This window comes from Homo sapiens, chromosome 11 (assembly GCF_000001405.40).
Source record: "Homo sapiens chromosome 11, GRCh38.p14 Primary Assembly".
Classification (NCBI taxonomy): Eukaryota; Metazoa; Chordata; class Mammalia; order Primates; family Hominidae; genus Homo; species Homo sapiens.
Window position 1 is genome coordinate 74,245,971 of NC_000011.10, and position 26,424 is coordinate 74,272,394.

Sequence of the window (26,424 nt, forward strand, 5' to 3'; positions counted from 1 at the left end):
TAAGTGCTAGTTTCCTTCCCTTTCCTTTTCCCAGGGATCTAGTTTTTAATCCTGTTCCTCCAGGGGTTGCCCTCGGAGACTCAGAACTTGCTCTTATTCCTCCAGACCAAGAAAGACCATCCATACACCTGGAGAATTGAACTGGCAAAAACAGAAAAATACTGGGACGGCTGGTTCCGAGGCTTATCCAATCTCTTTCTTAGTTGTCCCATTCCTAAATTGCTGCTCTTGGCTGGTAAGTGTATATGTGCATATATTAGTCAGCTCAGGCTGCCATAACCAAATATCATAGACTGAGTGGCTTAAACAACAGAAATTTATTTTCTCACAGTTCTGGAGGCTGGAAGTCTGAGATCAGGGTGCCAGCATGGTCAGGTTGTGGTGAGGGCTGTCTTCCTGGCTTGCCTTCTCTCTGTGCCCTCACATGGCCGAGAAAGAGTGAATGTGAGCTCTCTGGTGTCTCTTCTCTTAAGGATATTAATTAGGGACGTTCATCCTATCATGTCAGAGCTCTGCCCTCATGACCTGAGGTTACGTCCTTATAGGCCCTAGTTCCAAATACAGTCACATTGGGAATTGGGGCTTCAACATGAGTTTTAGGGGGACACAACTCAGTCCATAGCAGTGTTGGTATATTGTCATCTCAATATGACCTCATTAAAACTTCTCACCAAATGAGTAGTGACATCCAAAGTAGAGTACCTTCCTCATTCATCTATGCCTTTTCTCCTCCCCACACCCAGTCTCTAAACCTAACTAAGCATAAGCATTCATCTAAGCATAAAGGATGACCTAATTCTGGCCTGGCCTGTCTACTTGGTCAAGCTCAAGTCCTTCTTAGTCTAGAGCTAGATGCAGTGGTATAAGGATATTCTGATTATTATGAGAATTAAAATAGTAAAACCTTGTTTTCAGAACCAGTTTAACATAGTAATTATAGGGGAATCTCAACCTGAAAAGTTTTATCTGGTGGTGAGAGTATGCTCTGGGAGTTAGGATTGGTATAAACATGAATGGAGAATGTCATCATATTTAAAACTTTGTAACACTTTTTACTTAATACGTGAACAGCAAAATCTGTTTCACAATGAATTCTCTTGTTTTCTAGGTGTTGATAGATTGGATAAAGATCTGACCATTGGCCAGATGCAAGGTAAGTTATCAAGAAATTATACCCCTGGACCCTTTTCTGAAGAAAGGGTGATAGGGCAGTTAACATCCTGAGATAGTGAGGTATAACGGAGAAAGCATGAGCTTTAGAGTCCGACCCAAGTTGGACATCCGCCTCTACTCCTAACACACTATATGATTATGGGCAAGTATTTCCCTTTCCTGAGCTTTAATTTGTTTAAAAAAAAATCCATCCAAAAATGAAGATTATAATACTACTACCTATGTCTCAGTTATAAGAGTTAAAATGAGGCAATGTGTTTAAAAATTATAAAGTACTGTATAGGTGTATGATACTGTGAAAAGAGATATTCTGACTACTGATCAGTTTTTTGTTTGTGGGTTTTTTTTTTTTTTTTTTTTTTGAATTGGAGTCTCACTCTGTTGCCCAGGCTGGAGTGCGGTGGGACCAATCTCGGCTCACTGCAACCTCTACCTCCCAGGTTGAAGCAGTTCCGGGCCTCACCCACCCCAGTAGTGGGATTACAGGCATGCACCACCACGCCCAGCTAATTTTTGTATTTTTAGTAGAGATGGAGTTTCACCATTTTGGCCAGGCTGGTCTCAAGCTCCTGACCTCAAGTGATCCACCTGCCTTGGCCTCCCAGAGTGCGAAGATTATAGGTGTGAGCCACTGCAGCTGGCCAGTATTTTTCTTATTGTTAGAAGTTTTAGGAAAGGGAAAGGCTCAAGATAATCCAGATATAAAAAGGTATAAATACCTGTTTAGAAGACAGCATGGTAAGATGGTAAAAGTAAGGTCTCTGAAGTTCGGAAAACTGAGTTTTGAATACTGCTTTTCCAGTAATTTTTTGACTCTGGGCAAGTTATCTGACTTGCCTCAGCTTTAGTCTTCTTAATCTGGAAAATGAAAAAACTGATGGCAGCCTCAAACAGATCGTGGGGTATAATGAGTAGGAAAGTGACATGCTGAGCACTGTATACAGATGCATGTATGTTAGCTAGATAACAGTGGAGGCAGCGGGTCCAATTTTGTGGGGGCTCTTGCTTTAGTACGGGTAAAAGACTCAGTGAAGGTGAAGCCAGTAGGCATACAACTTTTGGGTTATGGGAAGAAGAGGTGCCAACTCCAAGACCAAAGTTTCAGGCTCAGGCAGAATCTGTTCTAGACCTTTCTTCCCTACTTACTCTCCCTGGACAATTTCATGGCTTCCATTTATATATTGATGACTCCCAAAGCTAAACATCCACCTCACCCCTCTCTCCTGAGATCCAGTCCTAGCCTATGTAGCAAACCTGCTGGATATCTCATGGGCCTCTCAAACTGTTCTTTTAGCTATCCTCAAGCTTTCCACAGCAAAAGGAGCTATATTCTCTCATAATAGTTGTTCAAAGGCTCTCACATATAAAACTCTGGTCCCAGACCTTCATGGCTTTGCCTTCCTTTAACTACATTGTATCCTGAGGCCTAGAATAGGACTATGAGCTGGGACTGTGTGATTTTTTTTCCATGGCACTGATGTTGGTAATTATGGGCTTAGACACTTATTTAAGTAGATGCTTATAAATGTCTAAGCCCGTAATTACCAACATGAGTGCCATGAAATTGAATCTAAGACACTTAAGTTCAATTCAAGAAACCTTTCCTAGGCACCCTTTCTGTGCAAGACCTATGCATGATGCTGGGCAGACAGAAGAATCAGATATGGCCCCTGAGACTGCCTGAAGGCAGTTGACATGGACTGGGATAGCATTTGAAATCATTGTTGATCACCAGCCTTGGAATCAGACAATCCTGGGTTTGAATCACTGTTAATAGTTTTGCGGTATGAGTGAATTCCTAACTTATTTAATTTTGAGTTTCTTCATCTGTGAAATGGAGATAATGATATATCTCAGTACAGTTACATGAAGTTTAAATGAAAAAAATGCGGGTAGTCTAACAAATGATGCCTTTCATTATATTCAGGAAGTAATCACGATTCCTTATGAGATGTCCTCCTGTTTCCTCAATATGGATTATATCAAGACCACCTTCTGGTTTAAAGAAAGCCTCCTATGAGTATAGAGAGTAAATGGCGAGGATAAGGAACATTCCACAGAACAAAGGGAAATGGCTAAGGCTGCATAGATTCCAAACCACAGCTTTGCCAGCACTGTGTTCAAACCAACTGACTTAGTTATGAAATCCTGGAAAACTACCACCTATTCATAGTACCCCTTGGGTAAATAATTTAGGCTCTCTGAACCTAAGGCTCCTAATCTGTGCAATGGGAGAGAAGAGTTTGGAAATATTCCCACCTCATAGAATAATCATGAGGATTACCCATGAACATGTTATTTTATGTGTACCTGGCACAGTGTTGTTGGTGTATGTGAGTTCTCTCTGATTATACCTACTCTTCCAAAGAGGAAGGACAAATGCGTCCCTAGTCATCAGAGCTGATCTAACAGAAAGAACAGGGAGATTGGAGTTGTAAGTTTTGGATCTAGTCATTTGTTCATCATTCATTCGCTAAAGACTTAAGCATCTACTCAGTGCCCTACCCTGTGTTAGGTCTTATTAGGGATATAGAGCAAGTAATAACACCATTGTCCCCTGTTCTTATGGAAATGACACACTCCTGGGGAGGCAAGCACCAGTGGCATGTAAAATGTAAACTTACTTGAAACTTACAAGAGGGCCATGTGCTGCTCTGTGTTTGGATCCAAGTGCATTAACAACTTTAGGAGCTAGAAGGGAGAGGTGACTAGGCTTGAGCACCCAGAGAGAGGCAGCTTACTGCAGGAGGAGGGGCACAGGATGGACTTTACTAAATGGGATCATCTTATTCCTCCACTAATTAATGAAGTGGCCTTGGGCAGGTTACTTCACTAATCATGGCCTCAGTTTCATCATCTCAGAAAAGAATTTCAGTATTTTTGTGCTTAATTGTATAGGGTAGATTTTGAGAATCAACTTTAAAAATGGATAGAAGAATACACTGAAAACTTTTGAATCCTGCGTAACTGGGGTAAGAACCACAGGATGTAATGACCAGAAGAACTTTCAAGCCCATTCCTTTATTTTATAAATAGAGAATCTGAGGCTGAGAAAATCTGCTGTCTCTACTTATGGGGGCTCTGGGTCTCATATCCTTTAGTCTCCTTAGGGATCTTCTTTATCAGTCATCGCTGTTCATTCTCAATCATTGTCGCATTAGTTACGAGCTTACAGTGTTCTGTAAGACAGTATGAGAAAGTGCTTAGTACAATGCCTGGCACATGCTTAAGTGCTCAGATGGTAACTTATTATTGTAATAATACATTTTGAATCCTTAACATAGCTTACAAAATCCTTAATGGTTTGGCCCCTGCTTACCTCTCCAGCCTTATTGTTAACCACTCTCATAAGCACCATGCCAAGCTTCTTGTATTCCAAGCCATTTCAAGCCTTCCTTCCTTCCTGGTTCCCTCTTGGATTGTGAAGTTCCCTTTCTTATGCTCTTACAGCCCCATGTAGCCAGTTTTATCATAGGAATGACATGCTGCATTAAAATGTTGGTTTTTGTGTTTTACTCCCCTACTGGACTGTAAATCCCCTGAGGACAAGAACTGTTTCTTCTATGTGTCTCTGGCCCACAGTAAATGTACACTAAATAGGACAGAAGGAAAAAGTGAAGGGAAATGATTGGCGCAAGGTTACAATTACTTGTATTACCATCCTCAGCAAGACTTGATAATTGGGTCCAGAGTATTGAGGTGAGGTTGGAAATGGGGAGGTAGGTCCTGGGCTCCTGGAATGACCTATGAGGCTGCATAAGAGAGGGCTCTTTTAGTCGCTGAAGTTGCCTTGCTTTGATTCCTCTCCAGGGAAGTTCCAGATGCAGGTCCTACCCCAGTGTGGCCATGCAGTCCATGAGGATGCCCCTGACAAGGTGAGTCTGGTGCTCAGTGACTGTAAAAGGACAACTGTGAGAATAACCCTGGATGTCACAGAAGACAAGTCTCTGAGTCTCAGCCTGCATTGCCTGCAGCAGCTGCTGTGGAGCCTATGCAGATGCAGTTCCACCAGCTCTCCAACTTCTCCCTGGCAGCTGCTTATGGTATTGGTTTTGTGTATATGTGCTGAGGAGCTACTGACACTCTGCTATTTCATCCCAGGGCCCTGTGGTTAAGATCTTAAGCTCTACTTCTCCAATACCCCCAAAAGCCAGAGATGGAAGAGGGATGATTAGGGTAGAAACTGCTCCCTAAACCACAGGCACAGTTAGGAATTAATATGGGCTCCTCCTGTGAGAAAACACCATTCTGTAACTCTGAGGGCACACATAAGCCCTTCACGTCATTCCTCTTGAGCTCTATGGAGCTATCCCTGGCAAGGATAGTGGGGAGGAGTCTTCTAGCTCTGCTAGGGAGGGCCTAGGTCCTTTTAATTTCAAGCCACTCAGACCTGTGGGTGGGATGAGGGCACCGTAGAGCCTAACCATCTAACAGTAGCTCACAGCCCAAGGCTAAGCCCCATCACTAACCTTTATATGGCCTGGAATATCTCTCCCATTTCCAGGTAGCTGAAGCTGTTGCCACTTTCCTGATCCGGCACAGGTTTGCAGAACCCATCGGTGGATTCCAGTGGTAAGGCGGGTACAAGGGTTTAAGAACCCAGCAGTGCTGGCCGAATCTGACAAGCAGACACTTGTAGGACTGTAAATATCTCTGCCTTACCCCTGCCTGGTTTGGTCACCATGCCTTTCTTCCTCCTCCTCAGTGAAGAGCCTGGCATGTCTGTTTCTACAAAGCCATGGTTGGTTGTTTCTTTGTGCTGTGCTCCCACGGGTTGATGCTGAGGCTGTGATTAAATTGTGCCTAGTCTCACTCCCCACTGTGATGTGCATTTCTTCTTGAGGTGCCCCTTTGAGGAGGCTGGGATAGGAATCAGTCCTTTTCCAGGCTCCTAGAGAAGTTTTCTTTGGCTTCTCCTGCCCTGCTGCCAAGGAAAGCTGGGCAGGCCATGGAGCAGGGCTTTTTTTTTTTTTTTTTTTTCTTGGCACAGTCTTGGTTCACTGCAACCTCTGCCACCTGGGCTCAAGTGATCCAGTGCCTCAGTCTCCCGAGTAGCTGGGATCACAGGCGTACGCCACCGTACCCGGCTAATTTTGTTTTTTTTTTTGTTTTTTTTTTTTTTTAGTAAAGATGGTGGTTTCTCCATGTTGGCCAGGCTGGTCTTGAACTCCTGGCCTCAAGTGATCCACCCGCATCGGCCTCCTAAAGTGTTGGGATTATAGGGATTATAGGCACAAGCCACCGCGCCTGGCCTAGAGCAGGGTTTTCTACAGTGTTGCACAGTGTCTTCCCATGGCCAGCTACTAAGCAAGCTGGGAATGGAATGGGTGCCTCTGCCAGGCTTGCTTCCCCTCCCTTTCCGAAGCTGGCAGAATATTAGCCACTCTGCAGGGGTGATCCTGGAAGCTCTAGAGCAGGGTTTTCAACCTCAGCTTTATTGACATTTTGAGGTGGATAATTCTTCATTGTGGGGACTGTCCTGTGCATTGTAGGATGCTTAGCAGTATCCCTGGCTTTTACCCACCTGATAACAGTAGTACCCCTCCCACACACGGTTTTGACAAACAGAAATGTCTCCAGATTTTACCAAATGCCTCAAGGGAGGCAAAAATTCCCCCTCTATTGGTCTAGAGGAAGAAACAGGGCCAGGTCTCTCATCCTAGGTAGCTCTTCATCTGTTTAGGGAAACACAGTTGGGCTCTTTGTTGAGGAAGAAGAGAGGCATGTTGACCAAACCAGGTGGTATTGACCCACCTCAGCCAGCTCCTAGTCTGTACTGCAGAAGGCCTTTGATCCTCAGAGAGCCCACAACCCTCATGAGGAGTCATTCCTACCATTGAAAAGTCTCTTCTCTGATTTTGGTGAGGGCTTGGGGAAACTTGTTCCCCACTCTCAGAAAGTTTGCAGAAGAAATATTAAGAAAAGGAAATGGCTTCTGCGTTAGAGAACTCTGAATTCCAGGGCCTGGGAGATGAGAGTGACAGGGCAGGGTAAGCACTGGAGATGATGGCAAGACCTTGGGACAGTGAACCACAGAAGCGACACCCCTATGCTGAGCCATCCCTCTAACAACTGACCATTCATGGATCCCAGGAACCAACAATAAAGACTTAATTTCTCTTACTAAACAGTGTTTGGCTGGGGCCCTTCGACCATTTGGAGCCTTGGGCAAATGAGCAGCACACTGAGAGCAGACCCTGGGTCCAGCTCTGGTCAGGGCTGTGAAATGGGTCAGATTTGCCAGGGCCTTGGTGGTCATTAGGGAGGGCTTCCTGGAGGATACAGATAAGCAAGGGAAAGCTATTGATAGTTACATTTGTTTTTCCTTCTCTTTCTGTTCTTCCACAGTGTGTTTCCTGGCTGTTAGTGACCTGCTGTCCACCCCTCCTCAACATCGAGCTCTGTTGTAAATACGTCGCACCAGAGGCCACTGTGATGCCACTGTCTCCTCTCCATCCCGCCCAGCCATGTGACACTGGCTCCCGGTAGACGGGCACCCCGAGATGTACCAACCTTTTCATGTATTCTGCCAAAAGCATTGTTTTCCAGGGCCCTTGACCAACATCGGCTTCCCCAGTCCAGGGCTCCCCTGCTCCTTTCCCTTCCCTGTACTGGGGTAGCTCCTGCCTGCTCTCCCTGCGTTGCCTAGGGTAAAGCCTCCAGATTTGCCATACTGAGCCCCTCTTCCTAGCATCAGGCGATACATCTGAGTTCAAATGTCTTCCCAGGCTCAGGGACCTCCATTCCTTGAGATTGTCTTGGCATGGCCCAGCCCTGCCTCATGGGATGGACAATGCATGGGGTGGTCTTTATTTTTCCCTTTCAAATAAAACACTAGTCAGGTACCGTTTTATCCCAGTCGTACTCTTCCAGGTTTGGAAGACCCAGAGAGGCCAAGATCCCATCCTTAGCCATAGCGAGCGGTGGTGGTGGATAGCATCACAAGAAACGAGCCTGAAAATCAGGTCCAGCCGGTCCAAGCACATGGCCTCCCATCTGGGAGAGCCCACTGTCCCACTCCCACATGTCTGGGCACCTGCCCTGGGCTGAGGCCAGGCTGCTCCAGGGGCCTCCTGCGCCCTCACCTGCCACAGAGCAACCCAGGTTAAATACAGCCCATGCACAAAGCCACAGGCCAAAGCCTATGGAATTGTTTTTAATCATCAAATTTAACCATTTTCATAACTGGTTCCTGGAGGTGTGCAGTGCCCCCTTGCCTCTTCAAACCTACAGCTTCTCTTTGCCATTTGTGGATTTCACATCACTCCACACAGAAACATTACAGCCTGGCATCCCCAGTCTTTGCCTTCTTCCAGCTGCCTCGACACAGCACTGTGGCCTGTCCCTATTGCCCAGGCACGCCATTTCCAAGGGCAGGAAGGGGCAGTGTCCTGAAGCCCATCTTTTCTGTGACTGTCTTAGGTGATGTGTAGCCCCCTCCACCTTTCCACTCAACAACCTCCCACCCCTGTCCTGCTGCATGGTCCGGAGTCTGGGACCTACTTTGTTTTTTGTTATTTATGACCTTGTTTAAAGAAAATAAATATCTCCCAACCTTTATTGGTCTGGTCTTTCTCTGTGGAATTGTCCTTATTTCTGCTGATATGGGGGCAGGGGACAGCTCATTGGACTTAGTTGTCATGGAACTCCAGAAACCCCTTTCCCTATAGCCCTTCAGTGTGTTATGCTCTGCCTGTCCCCTGATCCAGAATGCCCAGTGGGATGGTCAGAGCCACCCTCCTCTGCAGCCAGGATGGGATTCCAGTCCCATCTCTCCTAATTATCGGCTGTGTCGACTTTGGTCCAGAGCAGGACAATCTGTGCACTGTCCACATGATCTCAGTCACCATAGCTTCACTTATGTGAAACTTCATCTACAACCCAAATCATTTCCTGAGCTCTGAACAGGTAGGCCCAGGTTCCTCCTCCTGTCTCTCCCAGATGACCAAAAGCCACTTCATATTGACTGTTTCTAAAGCTGAATCCACCTTCCCCCGGAAACTTGCTCCCCATGAAACTTGCTCTTCCTCCAGCGTTTCCTGGCTCAATAAGTGATAGGTATCACCATCTCTCCAGTTGTCCAAACCAGATACCCACAGTGAATGACTTCTCTTACACCCACCTCAGGTCTACCACCAAATCCTGTTCATCCTCTTTTCCGTGTCCCCCTCTTTTCCATCCCACAGCCAGTGCCCTAGCTTAGGCCTCATCATCTCTCACTTTGATCACTTCAGTACCTTTGCTGCCCTCCTCCCCCCTGGGTGGTCCTCCACACTGTTGGAGGCTTCCTCCTAGCAGGCTCTGGGGCCAGAGTGTCTAAATTAGAACCCAAGCCCCACCCCTTACACTGTATGGTATGGCAACAAACTTTCTCTCTGCTGTAGTTCACTCATCTGAAAAATGGAGATAAACCGTACCTACCCCACAGGGTCTTGAGGATTATACAAGTTAAACTAGGTTAACTGGCTTTCTCACTAACTGGCACATGGTAAGACATTTAATAAGTAGTTCCTGTTATGACACTGTTACATTGTTATAGTTAGGAACTTTATTCAGGGCCGTCTGTGGGCCAATAGCATCAGTATCTCTTGGAAGCTCGTTAGAGAACTGTGTCCCCATGTCAGACCTATTGAATCAGAACTGATCTGCATTTTAACAAGTGCATCAATGTCTGAAAATTTCTTGTCTAGTTGATGATGAAATATTTCAGGGTAGTTCATGAGCTCCCTAGTAGAGGAGAGAAGTTCCTTATGTGTGGTTTGATTTCTCTCACCGGAACACTTTGCGGGTGCCTTTGCTGAGCTATGTGCCCTCTTGTCCACAAGAGGGCAGCATGATCACTTGGTTTTCAGGGGCACTCAGGTTCATCAGGTTCACTCAAATTTTGAATGTCATCTAATTCACTTGACACACATCTCATTTAATCTTCACAGCAACTCTATGAGGTAGGTGCTGTTATGTTCCTTTTACAGGTAGGCAGACAGGTCCAAATTCTACAGCTTGGAAGTGACTGTCAGAATTCAAAACTGGCTTGCTTCCACATCATTCTGTTCCTGCATGCTACAAGGGACCCTGGGCAGAAGTCATTTTGGACCAGATACTTAAAAGAGCAGAAGGAGGATGACCGTGGAGATGAACCCTCTTTACACTTGATGGAGGAGGCTGAGAATGAATGAAATGCTCGTGAGCTTTGTGGTTGGTTGTGTTTTAGGCACTTTCATCTCCATTCATCCTTTGTATCCTTGTGAAGTACAGGCACTATCCCCAATTTAAAGGCAAGGAAGCAAAAGCTCAGACATTTGAAATGGCTTGCCCACAGCCACGGCCAGAGTGGCAGCATCTTTGTCTTCTGATTCCAAGTCTACTGAGCATTCCATTACACCCCAGAAGAGAAGGGACCATTCATGTGTTCACTTAACATGGCTTTAACGAGCACCTACTATGTGTTGGCCATAACAGTGTCCTTGCAGAGCCTACAGATCAGCATGTATGAACTCAGGAAGGGAATAAAGAAGGAGATCCCAGAATCCTTGAATGAAGGATTGCCACAAAGCCAGAAGGAGCATGTTTGGGACAAACCAAAGGCCCTGTCACATAGACACTAGTGAAAGTCCAAGGGAAACTCCTTCCCAAAAAAGGAAGGTAGGCACATTTTGGAGGCAGATGTAGATCTGATGGGGGACAGAATCTTGAGACTGGGAGGACTGAAGACAAAGCCATGAGGGGAATGGGGCATGACTTCATAGCCCCACGCTCTTAACATACTGTTAGGAGCATTTGCTGATTAAGCAAACCCGAGCACCCAATATGTGCCAGGCATCCAATGGACTTTGTAGACAGAGGTAAATAATGAGGCTCTTAAAATGAACTCATTGTCTAGAGAGACAGTGATAGAAATAGTGACCACGTTGTAAGAAGGTTGGGGGTGGGCAGTAACTAAACCTATTTGGAAACAGGCCAGGAATGGTTTCACAAGAGGTAGCATTTTTTCTTTCTTTTTTTTAGACAGTCTCCTCTGTCACCTAGGCTGGAGTGCAGCAGCACAATCTTGGTTCACTGCAACCTCTGCCTCCCAGGTTCAAGCAATTCTCCTGCCTCAGCCTCCCAAGTAGTTGGGGTTTCAGGTGCCTGCCACCACGCCCAGCTAATTTTTGTATTTTTAGTAGAGATGGGGTTTTGCCATGTTGGCCAGGCTAGTCTCAAACTCCTGACCTCGAGTGATCTGCCCGCCTCAGCTTCCCAAAGTGCTGGGATTATAGGAGTGAGCCACCACACCCAGCCAAGAGGTAGCATTTGAGTTGAGCCTTGAAGTATCACAAAGTGGAGGTGGAGGAGGAAGGGCAAGATATCTCAGAAGGAACAGCACAGACAAGCGCTGGAGACTTGAAAGTCAGCCTAGGAAGAAGACTGTGGCTGGAGTATGGGCCGAGATAGGAGAAGAGCCAGGAGAGAAGGTGGGAGTCAGGGCATAAAGGCCTTAAGTGGCAAGAATAAGGAGTTTCCAGAAGTTATTAAATAGGCATGACCCCATATAAAAAGACAAGGTCAGGTCTTTTTTATAAAGGAAAGTCACTCTGGTAGCCTGTGTAGATGGATTGGTGGGTGCCAGACATGAGGCCAAGAGGTCAGTAAAGAGGCAGTTGTAATTGGGCAAGGAAAAGACACAGGTATACTTAATTAGAACAGTGGCCACTGGGCTGAGAGAACAGGATAGTCTCATTATTTTGGAGGTGGAATGAACAAGAAAGAGACTAGTTAGATTTCAAAAGTGAGGGGCCAAGAACCCTTAAGTTGGATGCAGGGGCCTGTCATGAGAAGTGGGGGTTGGAAGTGAAAGGTCAAGATTTTACCAAGGGAAAAGCAAGAAGAGAGCCTACACTAGCAGCAGAGAAAGCAAAACGCAGTCACACTCCTCCCTGCAGTCACTGTTTTGTTTGCAATCTTGGAGCCAACTCTGCTGCTCCAGCTGGCCACCCCATCAGCAGCCAGAATCAACTCATTCTCAGTCTGGGGCCAGGGCTCAGAAAGTTATGTCAACTCAAGAGGCTCCCTTATTCCTCGAGCTGGCTTCCTCTCCCAGCAGTTTGCTAGAAAACTCCAGCCCATAGCCAGGCAAAACCTTGTAACCCAAGACTAGCAGAAAGGCTGGATTCTTCCAGGTGCAGGCAATAGGTGACTGAGGAGTGAATGGAGTGTTGACAGAGACAGTTTCTTCCTGATTAATGAGAATGATGCCATTCCATAATGACTTATAGAATGACTAATCAAACAAGCTTAGAATAACTGACATGATACAGTCTGTATCATTTATAAAGCACGTTTACAACCTTTGAGACCTCCTAACTCCTCTGGAGTGGGGAGGGCAGACAAATCAGCAGTGCCTCCTACAGATGAGGAATTCGAGGGTCTGACAAGGAAAGTGATTTGTCCAGGGTCATACCTTAGCACAATCTGGACTAGAGCTCAGGCCACCTGACTTCCAGACGAGTGCCTTTTTAGTCCCACACCATAGCAGAAGGAGAGGAGGGGTGGGGCAGGGGCATGGAGGACTAGGACCTGATAATGAGAGGAATGCTCCAAGCTCAGTTCAGCCTCCTACTAGCTGGGTGACCTCTGGCACATCACTTCCTTCAGAACTTCAGGTTCTGCATCCCAAAATGGGGGGATAATCCTTAATTCACTAGGTGTTATGAGGGTTAAATGAGACCTAAGTATCCAAGTATAGTAAAAGCTGCTGCCTGCAGTAATAAGGTGAAAAACAGTAAATGCCATGGTGCTAAGAAGATAAGGGGATTCATTCATCCTGACTGGGAATCCCCACAGGGCGGGGAGACCAAGGCACAGCAATTCTACCCCTACTCCTGCTGGGTAGGGCTGCTCAGGCAGAATTAGTGGAAGCCGGTGTGCCCCTGGGGCCTGAGAGCAGTGGCCCATGCTGCATCCTCCCTGGGACGTCCTTCTCAAAAAACTTTTGGCTGGGCACGGTGGCTCACGCCTGTAATCCCAGCACTTTGGGAAGCCAAGGTGGGCAGATAGTGAGGCTTGGCCAACATGGCGAAACCCCGTCTCTACTAAAAATACAAAAATTAGCCGGGTGTGGTGGTGGGTGCCTGTAATCCCAGCTACTCAGGAGGCTGACGCAGGAGAATTGCTTGAACCCAGGAGGCAAAGGTTGCAGTGAGTGGAGATCATGCATGCCACTGCACTCCAGCCTGGGCGACAAGAGCAAGATTCTGTCTCAAACAAAACAAAACAAAACAAACAAAAAACTTTTAACCAGGATTTTTTAAAAAAATAGTAAACTCTACCTAACACAGTATTTCTCATTTTAACCATGTGGAAATGAACAGTTCAGTGGCATTAATTACATTCACAAGGCTGTGGACCACACCACTATCTATACCCCAACTTTTTCATCATCCCCAGCAAGAACTCTGTACCCATTAAGCAATAACTCCTGCCTGCGTCCCCAAGCTCTATTCTGCTTTTGGTCTCTGAATTTGCCTATTTTAGGTAGCTCATAGGTGGAATCCTACAATATTTATTTTGTGTCTGGCTTATTTCATTTAGCATAATGCTTTCAAGTCCATCCATGTTGTAGTGTGTATCAAAATTCTGTTCCATTTTATGGCTGAATATTTTATTAAATGCATATTCCATATTTTGTTTAGCCATTCTCTTGACGGACATCTGGGTTTGCTTCCACCTTTTGACGATTGTGAATAAAGCTGCTATGACCATGGGTGTACAGCTATCATTCCATTCTTTCAGATACATACCTGGGAGTGGAATAACTGGGTCAGATGACAGTTCTATGTTTATCTTTCTGAGAAATCACCAATCTGTTTTCCACAGTGGCTGCACCATTTCACATTCCCACCAGCAACGCATGAGAGTTCCAGTTTCTTCACATCCGTAGTGACACTTATTTTCTGTTTTTTAATTGTATCCATCCTAGGAAGTGTGAAGTGGTTCCTTATTTGCATTTCAAGACTGCAAATGTGGAGGGAGAAGGAGGGCTTTAGGGTCAGAAATGTGGGCTGATGCTGGCTGGCCCAGGGACTTGGGGCTTGCCCTACCTGTCCCACCCCAACATCATAAGAGACAGAGGGACCCAGGGAGCTGGATAGGGAGGGAGGGTGTCTCTAGCCCCAGGCCCTGGAGGGTTCACAAGGCTTAGCAGCTCACACAGTGGCAGCAGGATAAAACCATTCATTCAGGGTGAGCCCGCTGACAATTCCTGTTCCCCTTTTTGTTGCAAGAGAGTAAAAAACAGAGATTCTAGAACCCCAGAATCTGGAGAGAATTGTGAGAGTTTCTCACAATTGGGAGGGGGGCCCCTTAGGGGACCATGTACAATTTTTAAAAGAAGATTTAATGTAATTTTTTATTTGGTAAATGGAAAAATAATGTTTTTCCAAAAAACAGATTACAGATCATAAAGTTAGACAAAATCTTTTCTCCTAGAGTGATATATCTGCATTTGTAAGACTAAAGAAAGCTTTAGGTTTATCAAAAGAGCACAAATGGTTTTATTAGGTTGGTGCAAAAGTAATTGTGTTTTTTTACCATTAAAAGTAATGGCAAAAATTGCAGTTACTTTTGCATCAACCTAAATAAGAGTTGGACAAATGTTAATCTAAGGACCTGTGAGTTAGGGTGATAAGCCTTCACACCTCCATATGCACATATGGACCTCCTTATCCTTCAATATGCAAACCAAAACTCACATGACCCCCATCACATGAAAGACATAATCATGTCTCACGACTTTGGTAATGACACAGGATTTTTCCCAGCTACTTGCCAACTGGGGACCTCCATGGCCAGCGATGCCCCCTGCCCAGGCCTCACGTGGCCACAGACCTGCCTCTAGAGGTGCCATGCCCACTGACCCACCTGTGCTATAGCTTGTACCCGCATTCAGGGGTTCTTGAGCTCTTGCCCCATGTCCAAGAAGAATGAGGATATGTGACAATTTGAAGAGTGAGGATGGGCAGAGAAGAATTTAAATGAGTGATGGAAAAGCTCTCAGTGGAGATGGGATGTGAGGGGTGGTCCCCAACCCCTGCAGACAGGTGGTTTCTCTATCTCTCTCTGCCTGGGTCTGGGGCTTTTTATGGACTCAGAATGGGGAGCGTGTGCTGACTGGCTTGTGAGTATGCAAAAAAGGTTAAAGCAAAGACACCATTCACAGTATAAAAAAAAATTAGGAAAGGGTAGGTATATGTAAAATAGGTGAAAGGTGGGGAGCAATCAGAGGAAAGCACACTGAATGGGAAAACAGGTTCTTAATCTGGTCCATGGGTTTACCTGGGACTTGTAGCTAGACTTTACACTGTCTTTGGCTTGAAGGTTGGGTTTCACTGGGGACCTGACCCTATCTGCCTAGGCATTTGTCTGCTTCCTGCCGTTATCAATAACATGTTATATGTTCCTCTTTCACTAGTATTTTGCTGGGATTGTAACTATTTTCACATATGTCAGTATTTTCACTAGTATTTCACTAGTATAGTCACTGTGGGTTCTCTTTTCTGGGAGCTCTTCAAGGTCAGAGACTCAATCAGTCATCCCAGCATCCTCAGCCCCAGCAAAGGTCCTGACCCAGAGGCAACATCAGGAATGCTTAGCTGAATGAATAAATGACAGGCCACACATGCAGTCTGTGCTCATTAAAATACCATCAAATATTGGTACCATTATTTGCCCACTGTGCAACTGTTCCAAGAAGCACCTATGGCGCTTTGGAAAAAGCATGGGTCTCTGAGCCAGGAAACCTTGCTTCTAGTCTTGAGCTGACACTGACACACAGCGTAATTATGGGCAAGTTGCTTTACTTTTCTGGGGCAGGGGAACTAACTACTGCCCTCCAGTCCCATAACGTGATAAGCAGATGAACAGGAGACATGGTGGTCATTATTTTTTAGTTATGCTCCATCTGAAAATGTGGTGGGCTTTAAAGATGGTAGAGATGTCATTATCTATGGGGCTCCATCTGAGCGATGCCCTTGAACCCTTAACCAAAAACACTGTCACCACGCAGGCATCTAGTGCCTAGAATCCACTCCTAGTACCTCATTCCTTTGAGATAATCCTTGATTACACCAGGCTACCCATTTCTAATGCAAACATGCCCCTGTCAAGGACAGGGAAACTCTGTCACTCAAACCTTAGGGAGAATGGGCAGATCAAGCACTTGATAGGAGGGGTCCTGTGACCAATGAAGTGAATATAAAGAGGGATGTGGCAGAGAGAAAGAAGGGAAAGAGGCAGGCTCTGATTCCAAAGGGGGAGAAAATTGTGGGGGTCCACAGTGGGGAAGAGAGAAAAGTCCAGAAAGAGGTTAGAAGCAGTTAGGGGAACGGGGAGACTTTCCCCCAAGCTCCAGATCCTGGTTCTGCCCCTGGCTGTGTGAACTCAGTGATGTCTTTTCTTTAAACCCCATTTTCCTCCTTTGCCAAAAGAGATGATAACTGTTGTGAATATGATACAGGAGAGTGATCCATGGCAAAGAGTAGGCACATATGTTTGTTTCCTCCCCCTAGCCCTTAGCCGATTTCATAGTTCTACTGAGTACACAGCAATCTGCAGGTAAATGTCCCTCTCTCCCCACCCCAGCTCCTACACTCAGGCTCCTTTGGCTTCTCCCAGCTTGAGCAGCCAAGGCCCCCAACAGGAGACTCTTTCAGTGGTTCCATGAAAGGGCAGTTTGTGCTGCCGTTGGCATTACTGGACAAGAGTCCCCCAGAATCAACACCCTCTTGCTTCCTCCTCCCAGACAGCTCTCTCTGCTCCCCTGTTGTGTGTGAAAGAGGGACAAGCAGGGTGGCCGCTGCACCTTGTGCTCTACAGGCATGCATTCTTACTCTTTCCATGTGTTCCTGGGGCTCCAACATGGATACCCTCAGCATATTCTGGCCATAGGGCCCTACCCTCTCTCCAAGCTCCCACAATCCTTAGGATGAGCAGCACACAGCTTCCCACTTGATTCTATCCAATTCTCACTTACATTTGGGCATGGACCCGCTCTGCCTTAAGGGCAGTGAGCAGGTCGTCTTCTTTTCTTGGATTCTCATGGAGCAGCTAGCATGGGCAGATCACTCGACAAGTGTTCACCGTTCATTTGTGGAACTGATTCATTCCTATATTCAACAGATATCTACATCTGACAAGAGTTCTTAACCATTAGGCATCAGTGGCACAAGGGATAGACCTTTTCAATACCTGGGAAAATGTTGGAGACCCCCCCTGCCCTAAAATTATTGGCTCCAAAAGATTATTGCCAATGGAAGCACAGAAGTGACAGCAAAATAACATGGAATGCAGACAACAGAGGGTTAGTTAAGGTCTTTGGTGACAGATTGACATGGATTTGAATCCTGCCTCTGCTATTTTATACTTGGATGACTTCAGGCAAGTTATATGTTCTCTGACTCAGTTTCCCTCATCTATAAAATGGGCATAATAGAACTCATCTCATTTTGAGGCTTGAAGGAGACAAATACACCTAAGTTCTCAGCACAGTGCCTGGCCTATCATAAATGATGTGGTTACAAATGATAATGATAATAGACTTTAATGTAAAGAATATTATCTGGAATGAGGCTTGCAAGTGATAAGTAGTGCAGTGCCAGAAACCCCGGTTGGACAAGGCTGTTGGAAAACAGCTCACAGAACAGTGCAAGAAAGAAAGAAACAGGCTGGGTACTGTGGCTCATGCCTGTAATCCTAGCACTTTGGAGGCTGAGGCGGGAGGATCACTTGAGCTTAGGAGTTCGAGAAAGAAAGAAACAAAATTATAAAAAAATCAATGCCCCAAGCCACAGTTGACCCTACTTAGAATTAGATATCTATCTATCTACTAAGTGGGGCCCAAGGCCATGCCACTTTATCAGGACTAGTCAGATTCAGGGGGTATGGAGACTAGTGCAAATACAGAATTAGGCAAACATAATAATTAGTGCAAATATAAGAATTAGGCCTTTCCACTCTAGGAGTGATGTGGCTTTGAAAGCCATCTGGTGGAAAGAAGACTGGTAAGGGAGACAGACCAGTCCCAGCTCATGAAGCCCCAGGAAGCCACTAACCATTCCTACCTCACTTTCCACAGTACCTGCTATGCTCTCCTCCCTGGGGAGGTGAAGTTCAAGTGGAGTGGTAAAGCGTTTTGAAAATGAACATGCTGGCCAAAAGTAAGGTGTTGCTATCCCTACAGCATGCCCCCTAATACATGCAAAGCCTGGTCTCTCCTTCTCAGCCTCTAGGGACCCTGCTCATCTTCAAGATTTGCTCAAGTCCCTCCTTCCCATGAAACTTCCAGGGGTGAGGGGAGCCTCTTAATGCAGCCTGTTCATGTCTCCACTCGTGGCCACATGGTTTCATGATGATTTGAGGGTCTGCTCCATTTCTAGGGGCAGGGTCAGCATCTAATTCTCCTTTCCCTCCCTAGTGCCAGCAACGGCCTGGCACTGAGTATGCACCTTGTCAGTGTGACTTGAATAAACAAATGAGGCTTTCTCAACTATCCCAAATCCCAAGGCTCCCCTACCTCTTGATGGCAGCATTCAGTGGTAGTTCACCTCTTTCTGCATGCAACATTTTCACATTGTGCTTCAATGACACTGAATGCAGGATGCATTTTGTCTTATCCTCCTACTGGCCCAGCTTCCAGGGCTCTATCCTCTGTATCCCCACAGCACCCACTGAGCCCAGGGCCTGCGCCTGAGGATTACTCATTAAGCAGTTATTAATTTGCAGCCAGACTTTCCTGTGTCTCAGTCGCCTGGTCAAGATGTTTGATAACTGCCCCATCTCAGACATTAAAAGCACAAGATTTGGGGCCAGTCTGTGGCACTCTCAACAAGTGACTTAACTCTATAAAACTGCCTCCTTATCTGTAAAATGGGGATAACTGTATTGACCTCAAAGGGTTGGAATGAGCATTAAATATTTAATGCATGAAGCTCTTAGAATGGTGCCATTGCTCTGATTAGCTCAGACCCATCCTGTAATTCTGAGAAGTCCAGGTTCTGTGAAGAAAAGGGAGCAGCCTCCCCTGCAGACAGTCGCTTTCTGTCTCGTCTCAGGCCTGTTCCTCTTGGAACTGGAGGAGGCAGGTTGTGAGTAGTGGCAGTAATTTAGTAAGAGGATTTCCAGAATCCTGGTGTGCTCTGCAGAAATCCTAGGAATGTGACAAGGTGCACTTCAGACTCTGAGGAAGCTGGGTATTAGAACATCAGAGCCTTTCCCTTGGGGCCACAGAGCTCTGGGAAGCTGAGGTCATATGGGCTTGCGGGGAAGGGGCAGAGACAGCAGGCATCCAACCACCCAGTCCTTGCACTATGTGGCTTCCTTATGAGCAATACATGCCCACAGCCCTGTGAAGGATCCTAAGCCAAGTGGCCTTAAATGTTCTCTTGGCACAAGTGCCCAAATATCACAATCACCCATCCATGTAGCCTTAGCCCCTGCTAGACCTACTGCTGGGAAACACTTCTCATCACACTCTGCTTATAAAAAGTCTACCTGTCCTCCAGAGCACAGCTCAAAGGAAGCCTTTGCAGAATTGCTGAATGCCTACTTATGTTGAACCAGACCTTCTTCTGGGGCTACCAAGAGGAATGAAGAGCACAGAGCCTAGTGGGAGCAGCCTGGCAAATATATAAACATTGAAATTCAGTGACCTGAGGGCTGGAATAGAGGCATTTACAAAGTACAGCACAGCCCCAAAGCACTTCCCCTGCAAGGAAGGCAACTGACCAAAATTAAACAAATGAACAAAGTCATTTCAATCCTGATAAGTGTTATGAAGAAAACAAAGTCAGTTCATATGAAAGAAAGTGGCTGGGTGGTGGCATGGTCACGGAAGCTCTGTGAGGTAATATTGAGCCACTGCATTGAGTGGAATGATGAAAAGAGGTCAGCAGTGGAAAGACTGAGGGGATGACAAATGTCAAGGCCTGAGAAGTGGGAGTGAAGGTGGTGGTGATGGGCATGGTGGTGATGGGGACAAGGAAGAATTCCAGCTTCTGGAACGTAGCCGGGGACAGTGGTGGGAGGTGAGCTGCACCGAGATTACAGCATAAATAAAATGCTGTACAGTCATCCCTCAGCATCCATGGGGAGTTTGTTCCTGGACTTCAAGAGGATACCAAAATCTACAGATGTTCAAGTCTCTTGTATAAAATGGTGTAGTATTTGCATATAACCTGTAAACTGCACACATCCTCCCATATACTTTGTCACCTCTAGATTACTTATAACACCTAACACAATGTAAATGCTATGTAAGAAGATGTTATACTGTATTGTTCAGGGAATACAATACAATCTATTGCATCTGTACTGAGCATGTACAGAATAAAGTCTGTTATTATCCATGGTTTTTTTTCAAATATTTTCAATCCGAGGTGGAATCCACAGATGGGGAACACATGGATGTGGAGGGCCAACTGTACTCTCCCTTTTTTCCCACTCAGCATTATAATGTAAGAATATTCTCAGTTGGGAAAAATGATTTATAAACATTTTTAATGACTGTGTTAAAAAACCATCATACAAAAAGAAAAGAAAGTTGTTTTCAACTTAAAAAAAATCCTTATATAATGTACCACTCATCTGGGATATGCTTCTGGGAGGGGGACACTCCCTGCTTGGGCTGCAGCAGAAGGCAGTGGGGAGAAAGTCTTAAAGTTCTGGGAGTCAGGCTAGCCCCTCCTGCAGGTGTCCTCATTGCCACTTCTTGGTCCCTGTGGTCAAGGTTCAAAGTGCCAAAAGACCCACTGATCGAACCTGAGACTGTTGAGATGTCCTGTTCCCAACAGAGAGTATCTGAACTCCAGAAACTTCCCTCTCAGGCCTCCACTCCCCCCTCCTTTGTACTGTGCATCCTACTCTGACTTCCGTGGCTGGGGCAGATCAAATGTACATTCTCAGTGTCCCCTGGTAACAACCTCTCCCTTGCCTCTGATTTGCGAGGCACAGACAAAGCTGACAAGGCCTTCTTCCAGGAGGCTGCTCTGCTTTCTCCTCTCCTACCCCAGCTTTTGGCTCCTGGCTTCTCTGGAAAGCCACAGGACTCCACCAGCTTCTCTCTGCCAACAGTTCAGTCTTCAGGGCTGGAGCTGCAGGGTCTGCGGAATTCCTGTCCATACTCATGTATCCACTTGTTGGCCACTGGGAGAGAACAGGGAAGAAGGAGACAGCAGGCTCAGCAGAACAGACAGCAGCAATGCTGCAGACTGGTGCGCACTCATAGGCGCGTGTGAGTGCCCCCTTAAATTCTGCATCCTAGGTAACTCACTTGCCCAGCCTAGTCCTGGCCTCACTATGGACTACAAGCTGTTTCTTCCAGCAGATAAATAGCAAAGAGGACATTGTCCTCTGGAAAAAAGTCACAGGTCCTGTCTCCTGTAAACTCATTTTCAAACGTTTGGGAACTAAGATCACTCACCCTTCATTTTAGAAGCCCATGTTCCCCATGAAGCCATTCCAGAGTACTGAGAGAAAAACGGGTGGCATCTCCTGGCAGCCTCCACCTCAGCTTATGAGCCCCCTTCCACTTCTCTTTCTGTTTCAGAGCTAAGTGCTCCTGGATGTATATGTGACATAAACACGTCCATCTGCTTATTGATCTCTTCTTTGTTTTCCCACCTCCTCATGGGGAGCACTAAACAGGAGAGACAATGGCTTGACACATCTTTCCTTGGGGTAGAGTGTGGATGGGACACCATATTCCTCTCTGGCAGTGCTCAGGAATCAAGGCCTATCTGGTCAGGTGAATAAACCTTTACTGACTGTCACTCTGTAACAGGAACCCCTGCCTGTTATAGGCTCCCAGTCTGTTGGGGGCACCTCATTCATAATCTGATCTTCTCAATATAATGTGGCACTGTAATGAAGCGTTTGGAATGGGATGGCTGTGGTAGGTCCCACCCATCCCCTGTTTCACTCTACTCTGCACCCTGTACCCCCTTCTCATGCCCAGAAAGGCAAGACTTACCCCACTTATCTCCCACCAGGACAGGACAGCCAGCATGAAGTGTGTCACTGTCCCCTTCACCACTCCTGTGCAGGTTCCACCAAAACAGTGCTGCATTCTGAAACAAGAGGGCCCAGCCCCAGGGAGGGTCAGCCCAGAACCTCAGTCCTCGGGAAGCACATACTAAGGACAAATGCAGGCATGTCATTGAAGAAGCCTTTCCATGCAGTCTGGGGGCAATGCATGCATAAAATGGCACAAAATGGCATAAGTTGCCATTTACTCCTTCATGCATGGGTCACTGACAGAGTCCCCTGCACCCCAGGTCCTGGGGCTGCAGGGACAAATTACGTCCAGTTCTGCTCTCCAGGAGCTCACAAGAAACAGACATAAAACAGACCTGAACAAGACAGCATGGTGAGTTCTGGGAGAAAGGTGAGCACATTTGTCATTGGGTCACTGAGGAGAAACACCGAACAAAACCACAAGGTGGAACAAAATATTCCCATACAGCCAAGCATGTCATTAACTCAGAAGCTTTTCCTCCCTCAGGCACTTATGATTAACACTTTCAGGGAGCAGGCAGTATCATAATCCCCAGTTTCCTAGCAAAGAACTTGAGGCCCAGGGCTTTAAATAATGCAATAAAAGAAGGAGCAAAGTGAGGACTCAAGCCCAGGTGTTCTGACGCTAAATCCTGTATGTTTTTCCCCCATACACGGCTTCTTTGCCGTATCTACTTCCTGTAGTCAAATTACTTTAACCTTGGTCCTCAAAGTAGACAAAACTCCAGGTCATGAAGAGCTTTCCAGGATGCATTGGCAGTCTCTATGTTCCTAAGCCTACAAGAGGCGTCAAGCTCCTGAGTATTCAGAGATACCTGGCATTGATTATCGAATGCTCAGGATGTGCCAGGCACTGTACTACCTGCTTTACAGGAATGATCTCGTTTAGTTATCTTCATTTCATTCCTAAATTAGGTAAGGGCTGCCAGGGAGTTGGACTGATCTGAAATTTGGAGGAAATACTCATTCATGAAGCAAACCTCTTAGACTCAGTTCTCCTCAGCGCCTATCCTTTCCAAATCCCTATTGCAACATCATAATGCCTGCTGACGTCTCTGTAAACTCCTGGATCAAAGGGCTATGAATTTCCCTCTGCACCCTCCGTGCCTCTAGCTCTCAATGTGGACTGAACTAATGATGGAAGGAACTAGATGCTGTAGAGGATCCAAAGTAAATAAAACAGAGCTCTTATCTTGAGGAGCTGTACTGTGACAGGGAAGACAGACATGTAATCATCTACTTGCAATATAAGTGTAAATAAAATAACAAATAGAGGCACAAGTGACGAGCATGTGTGCGGTAGTAAAGAAGACTATGGGATGATCTGTGATTCTGGGAATTGGGGAAGACCTCTTTTTGGCCCTCCTCCCAGGAATGGGCTTGCAAGCACAGACAGCGTGAAGGTTAGAGGGTAAGCGCTGCACTCCCTCAACCCCGTCTTCTGGGACCAGGGCCCCACTCACCCTAACCACAGGCACGCTGAGGTTGGCATAGATGAAGGCTGTGGCTCCTCCAGCTTCCACCGAGCTCAGCTACAAGACCAGAGGAAGAAGCCAGAGTTAAAACTGCCACCGACTTCCCTACCCTGTCATATGATGTCACATCTGCATAGATTCCTTCTCATGGTCTTTTCTTCAACTCTGAGAGAAATACTTGAAAGACAATCATCCAACTCAGGAGGAACTTCGGGAGCCTACTCAATGGCATTGGTGTTTGCCTACAGGGCCACAAGAGGACAATGTTTTGGTATTCTTCCTTTCTTTCCCTTCCAGCTAACATCCTTATTGAGGGCTACAATAAGTAGATTCAAACTTTTTGACTGAGACCCTTAGGAAAAAATACATTTTAAATAATGACCCAAGACACACACACATACACACACACACAGACACATACACACACACACCTCCTGAAATATAATTGTCATAAAACATTCTTAATATCTGAGATAGCTTCTGATCTTCTCTACTTTATTTTATTCTATTCTAGTGTGGTTCTCTTAAATGCTCATCAGAACCACTAAATTAATCTCACAACCTATAATGGATCATGACTTGTGGCTTGAAAACCAGTTTAGACTATGATTCTTCTTGAAAGCTGGGCATCATAGGAACTACTTATTACACCTTTGGCATATTCTCCAGATCACTCTGCTCCTCTCCAGGGAACCCAAGCTAAGGAGTTTCATCACTGGTCTGTTCTAGGACTATGGATATGTTTTCTTAATGTGAAGCTTTTTTTCTGGTTGTCACAGAAATATATAATAATTGTAAACTGTTTTAAAACAGGAAAATATTTTTAAATAACAATAATTATCATTGTACCATCCAGAAAAAAGTTATAGTTTACATAGTGATAGTTGACATTTATTGGGCACTGACTATATGCTAAAAGTTACACTATGTCCTTGCAAATATATTATCTCATTTATTCCTCAGAACAATCCTAGGAGTTACAATCGTTATTATTTTTAACTCTTCACATTTTACAGATAAAGAAACCAAGTCTCAGAGAGCTTAAGCACTTTATAAAAGGTCACATGGCTCTTCCATGATGGAGTCAGGATTTGAGCTGAGCTGGTGCCATGTGACTACAAAGTCCCTGCTCATAACCATCATGCTACACATTTGGAAATTTAGGTCATATCCAAATGTTTACTATTATAAACAACACTGCACTGAACAACTTAATGAAAAAAAATCATTTTGCATTTTGGATTGTTTTCATAGGAAAGAGTCTTGGCACTAGTATTATGGGGTCAAAAGGACATGCATAAGTTTCATACTTCTTATACATTTTGCTAAATTATTTTTTCAGCAGTTGCATCACACAAGAGTGCCAGTTTTACCTCACGCTGCCTAGCATTATCTACCAGAAGGTTCATGCTCTGTAATCTTATGGCAGTCAGATCCCGGTACATTTACTTGTGTTACAGAGCAAGAGGTATAGGAGGTAGGACGCTGGCCCTTGGTAGATGCAAGTGAACTGACATGGTGATTTGGAACCTGGAAATGGCAGTGGTGACTATTAGCATTCCTTGGCTCTCCCTGTAGCACACTGGGAAAGCCGATGAGAACAACAATTGGCTCCTTGTGTTCAGGTAACAAATTAGATTATTCTATTCTAGCCCTTGTCAGTAAGGGGCAACCTGGACTTTCCTGCATTCTTTTACCTGTGGTTTTACAATATGGTGGAAAGGAATGACATAGCCAACACATTAAAAAGAAAATCGGATTCTGCATGCAATGAAGCTCATGAGCACGGCATGGGCTGTAAGAACAGTGGGAAAGGGAGAGAAATCTTCCGTCTGTATACCTTCTACTATTTTGTACTGGGGCTGATCTTTTTTTTTTAATAGAGACAGGGTCTCACTATGTTACCCAGGCTGGACTCGAACTGCTGGGCTCAAGCGATCTTCTTGCTTGAGCCTGCCAAGTAGCGGGGACTACAGGTGCACACCACCGCACCCAGATTGGGACTGATCTTATGTCCAATCTGAGCAGAAAATCACCAACTGGACTTCAACTCAATCCTCTGTACTTCTTAAAGATTATTTTCTCCCTATAAAATCAGTCTTAGGTTTCCCACAAACCTTAACATTTGTCTTGAGAAATGTTTGTCTTGAAATTGTCTCGAGAAATCCCAACCTGAAGATGAAAGACTTGGGCATAATCTAGCACTTCCCTGGTCCCATGATACTGATTCCCCTTTATGATACCCTTTCCTTTAATTGCTCTGTGGGATACAATGACAGAAACATACAGTATGGAACTTTCCAGAGTGACATCCCTCCTTACATTATCTCATCAGACCCTCACAACAACACTGTGAGGAAGCACAGGGCAAAAAGTGAGCTCACATAATAGATGTAATCTGTGCTGAGGCCACATAGTAAGTGGCAAAATCAGGATTAGGTCAACTGACTCCAAATCCAAAGTGTATTCCATTCCACTCTGTCTCAAATACTTAAAACCCAAATGCACATGCATGCACACACATGTGAAAGTGCATGAGAGTGCATGCACACACATACACACACACACACACACACACATGCATTTGCCATTTAAAATTACTGGGCTCTTATACCCACGCTACCTTCGCTATAGTAACTGGGGCCCTGTAACCAGGGAACCAGCCATAGGAGATATTGAGGGGATAAAGAACAGAGATATATTGTGCCCTAGATGCCCTGTTTTTTGGCAG

At 45.5% G+C, this 26,424-nt stretch overlaps 2 protein-coding genes and 1 non-coding gene across 12 annotated transcripts in view, besides 1 other annotated feature; 1 reads left to right on the forward strand and 2 right to left on the reverse strand.

Annotated features, from left to right (window-relative positions):
* Positions 1-8,733, forward strand: part of PPME1 (protein phosphatase methylesterase 1) — an 83,415-nt gene extending 74,682 nt beyond the window's left edge. Inside the window, exons 10-14 of one of the 3 annotated variants that reach the window (NM_001271593.2) lie at positions 64-235; positions 1,109-1,153; positions 4,984-5,048; positions 5,678-5,745; positions 7,522-8,733. In NM_001271593.2, the coding sequence (NP_001258522.1) occupies positions 64-235; positions 1,109-1,153; positions 4,984-5,048; positions 5,678-5,745; positions 7,522-7,540 (369 nt within the window). In that variant the 3' untranslated portion in view covers positions 7,541-8,733. The other 2 variants (NM_016147.3, XM_047427116.1) reach the window with 2 other exon arrangements.
* The window catches only part of P4HA3 (prolyl 4-hydroxylase subunit alpha 3), a 61,495-nt gene continuing 39,246 nt past the window's right edge, over positions 4,176-26,424 (reverse strand). For 2 of the 8 annotated variants that reach the window (XR_001747838.2, XR_001747836.2), the window contains 4 exons: positions 23,682-23,750; positions 22,175-22,271; positions 21,626-21,841; positions 20,687-21,348 (listed from right to left, as the gene is read on the reverse strand). Coding sequence is in view for 2 of the 8 variants with exons in the window: in NM_001288748.2 (NP_001275677.1) it covers positions 21,091-21,348; positions 22,175-22,264; positions 23,682-23,750 (417 nt within the window). In the remaining 6 variants the exon portion in view is untranslated. Of the gene's footprint in view, positions 4,353-13,796; positions 14,167-20,686; positions 21,349-21,625; positions 21,842-22,174; positions 22,272-23,681; positions 23,751-26,424 lie in introns of those variants that run through there. The other 6 variants (NR_110031.2, NM_182904.5, XR_007062475.1 and 3 more) reach the window with 5 other exon arrangements.
* Positions 4,494-4,788: a silencer, noted in NCBI's record as "tiled region #15540; HepG2 Repressive non-DNase unmatched - State 15:Elon". NCBI's record gives its function as "represses a minimal TATA promoter and a strong SV40 promoter by Sharpr-MPRA in HepG2 cells {active_cell/tissue: HepG2}" and the evidence as "EXISTENCE:reporter gene assay evidence [ECO:0000049][PMID:27701403]".
* On the reverse strand, positions 6,444-6,582 carry LOC124902824 (small nucleolar RNA SNORA7). Its single transcript, XR_007063005.1, has one exon. It is a non-coding gene; the product is annotated as a small nucleolar RNA SNORA7 (small nucleolar RNA).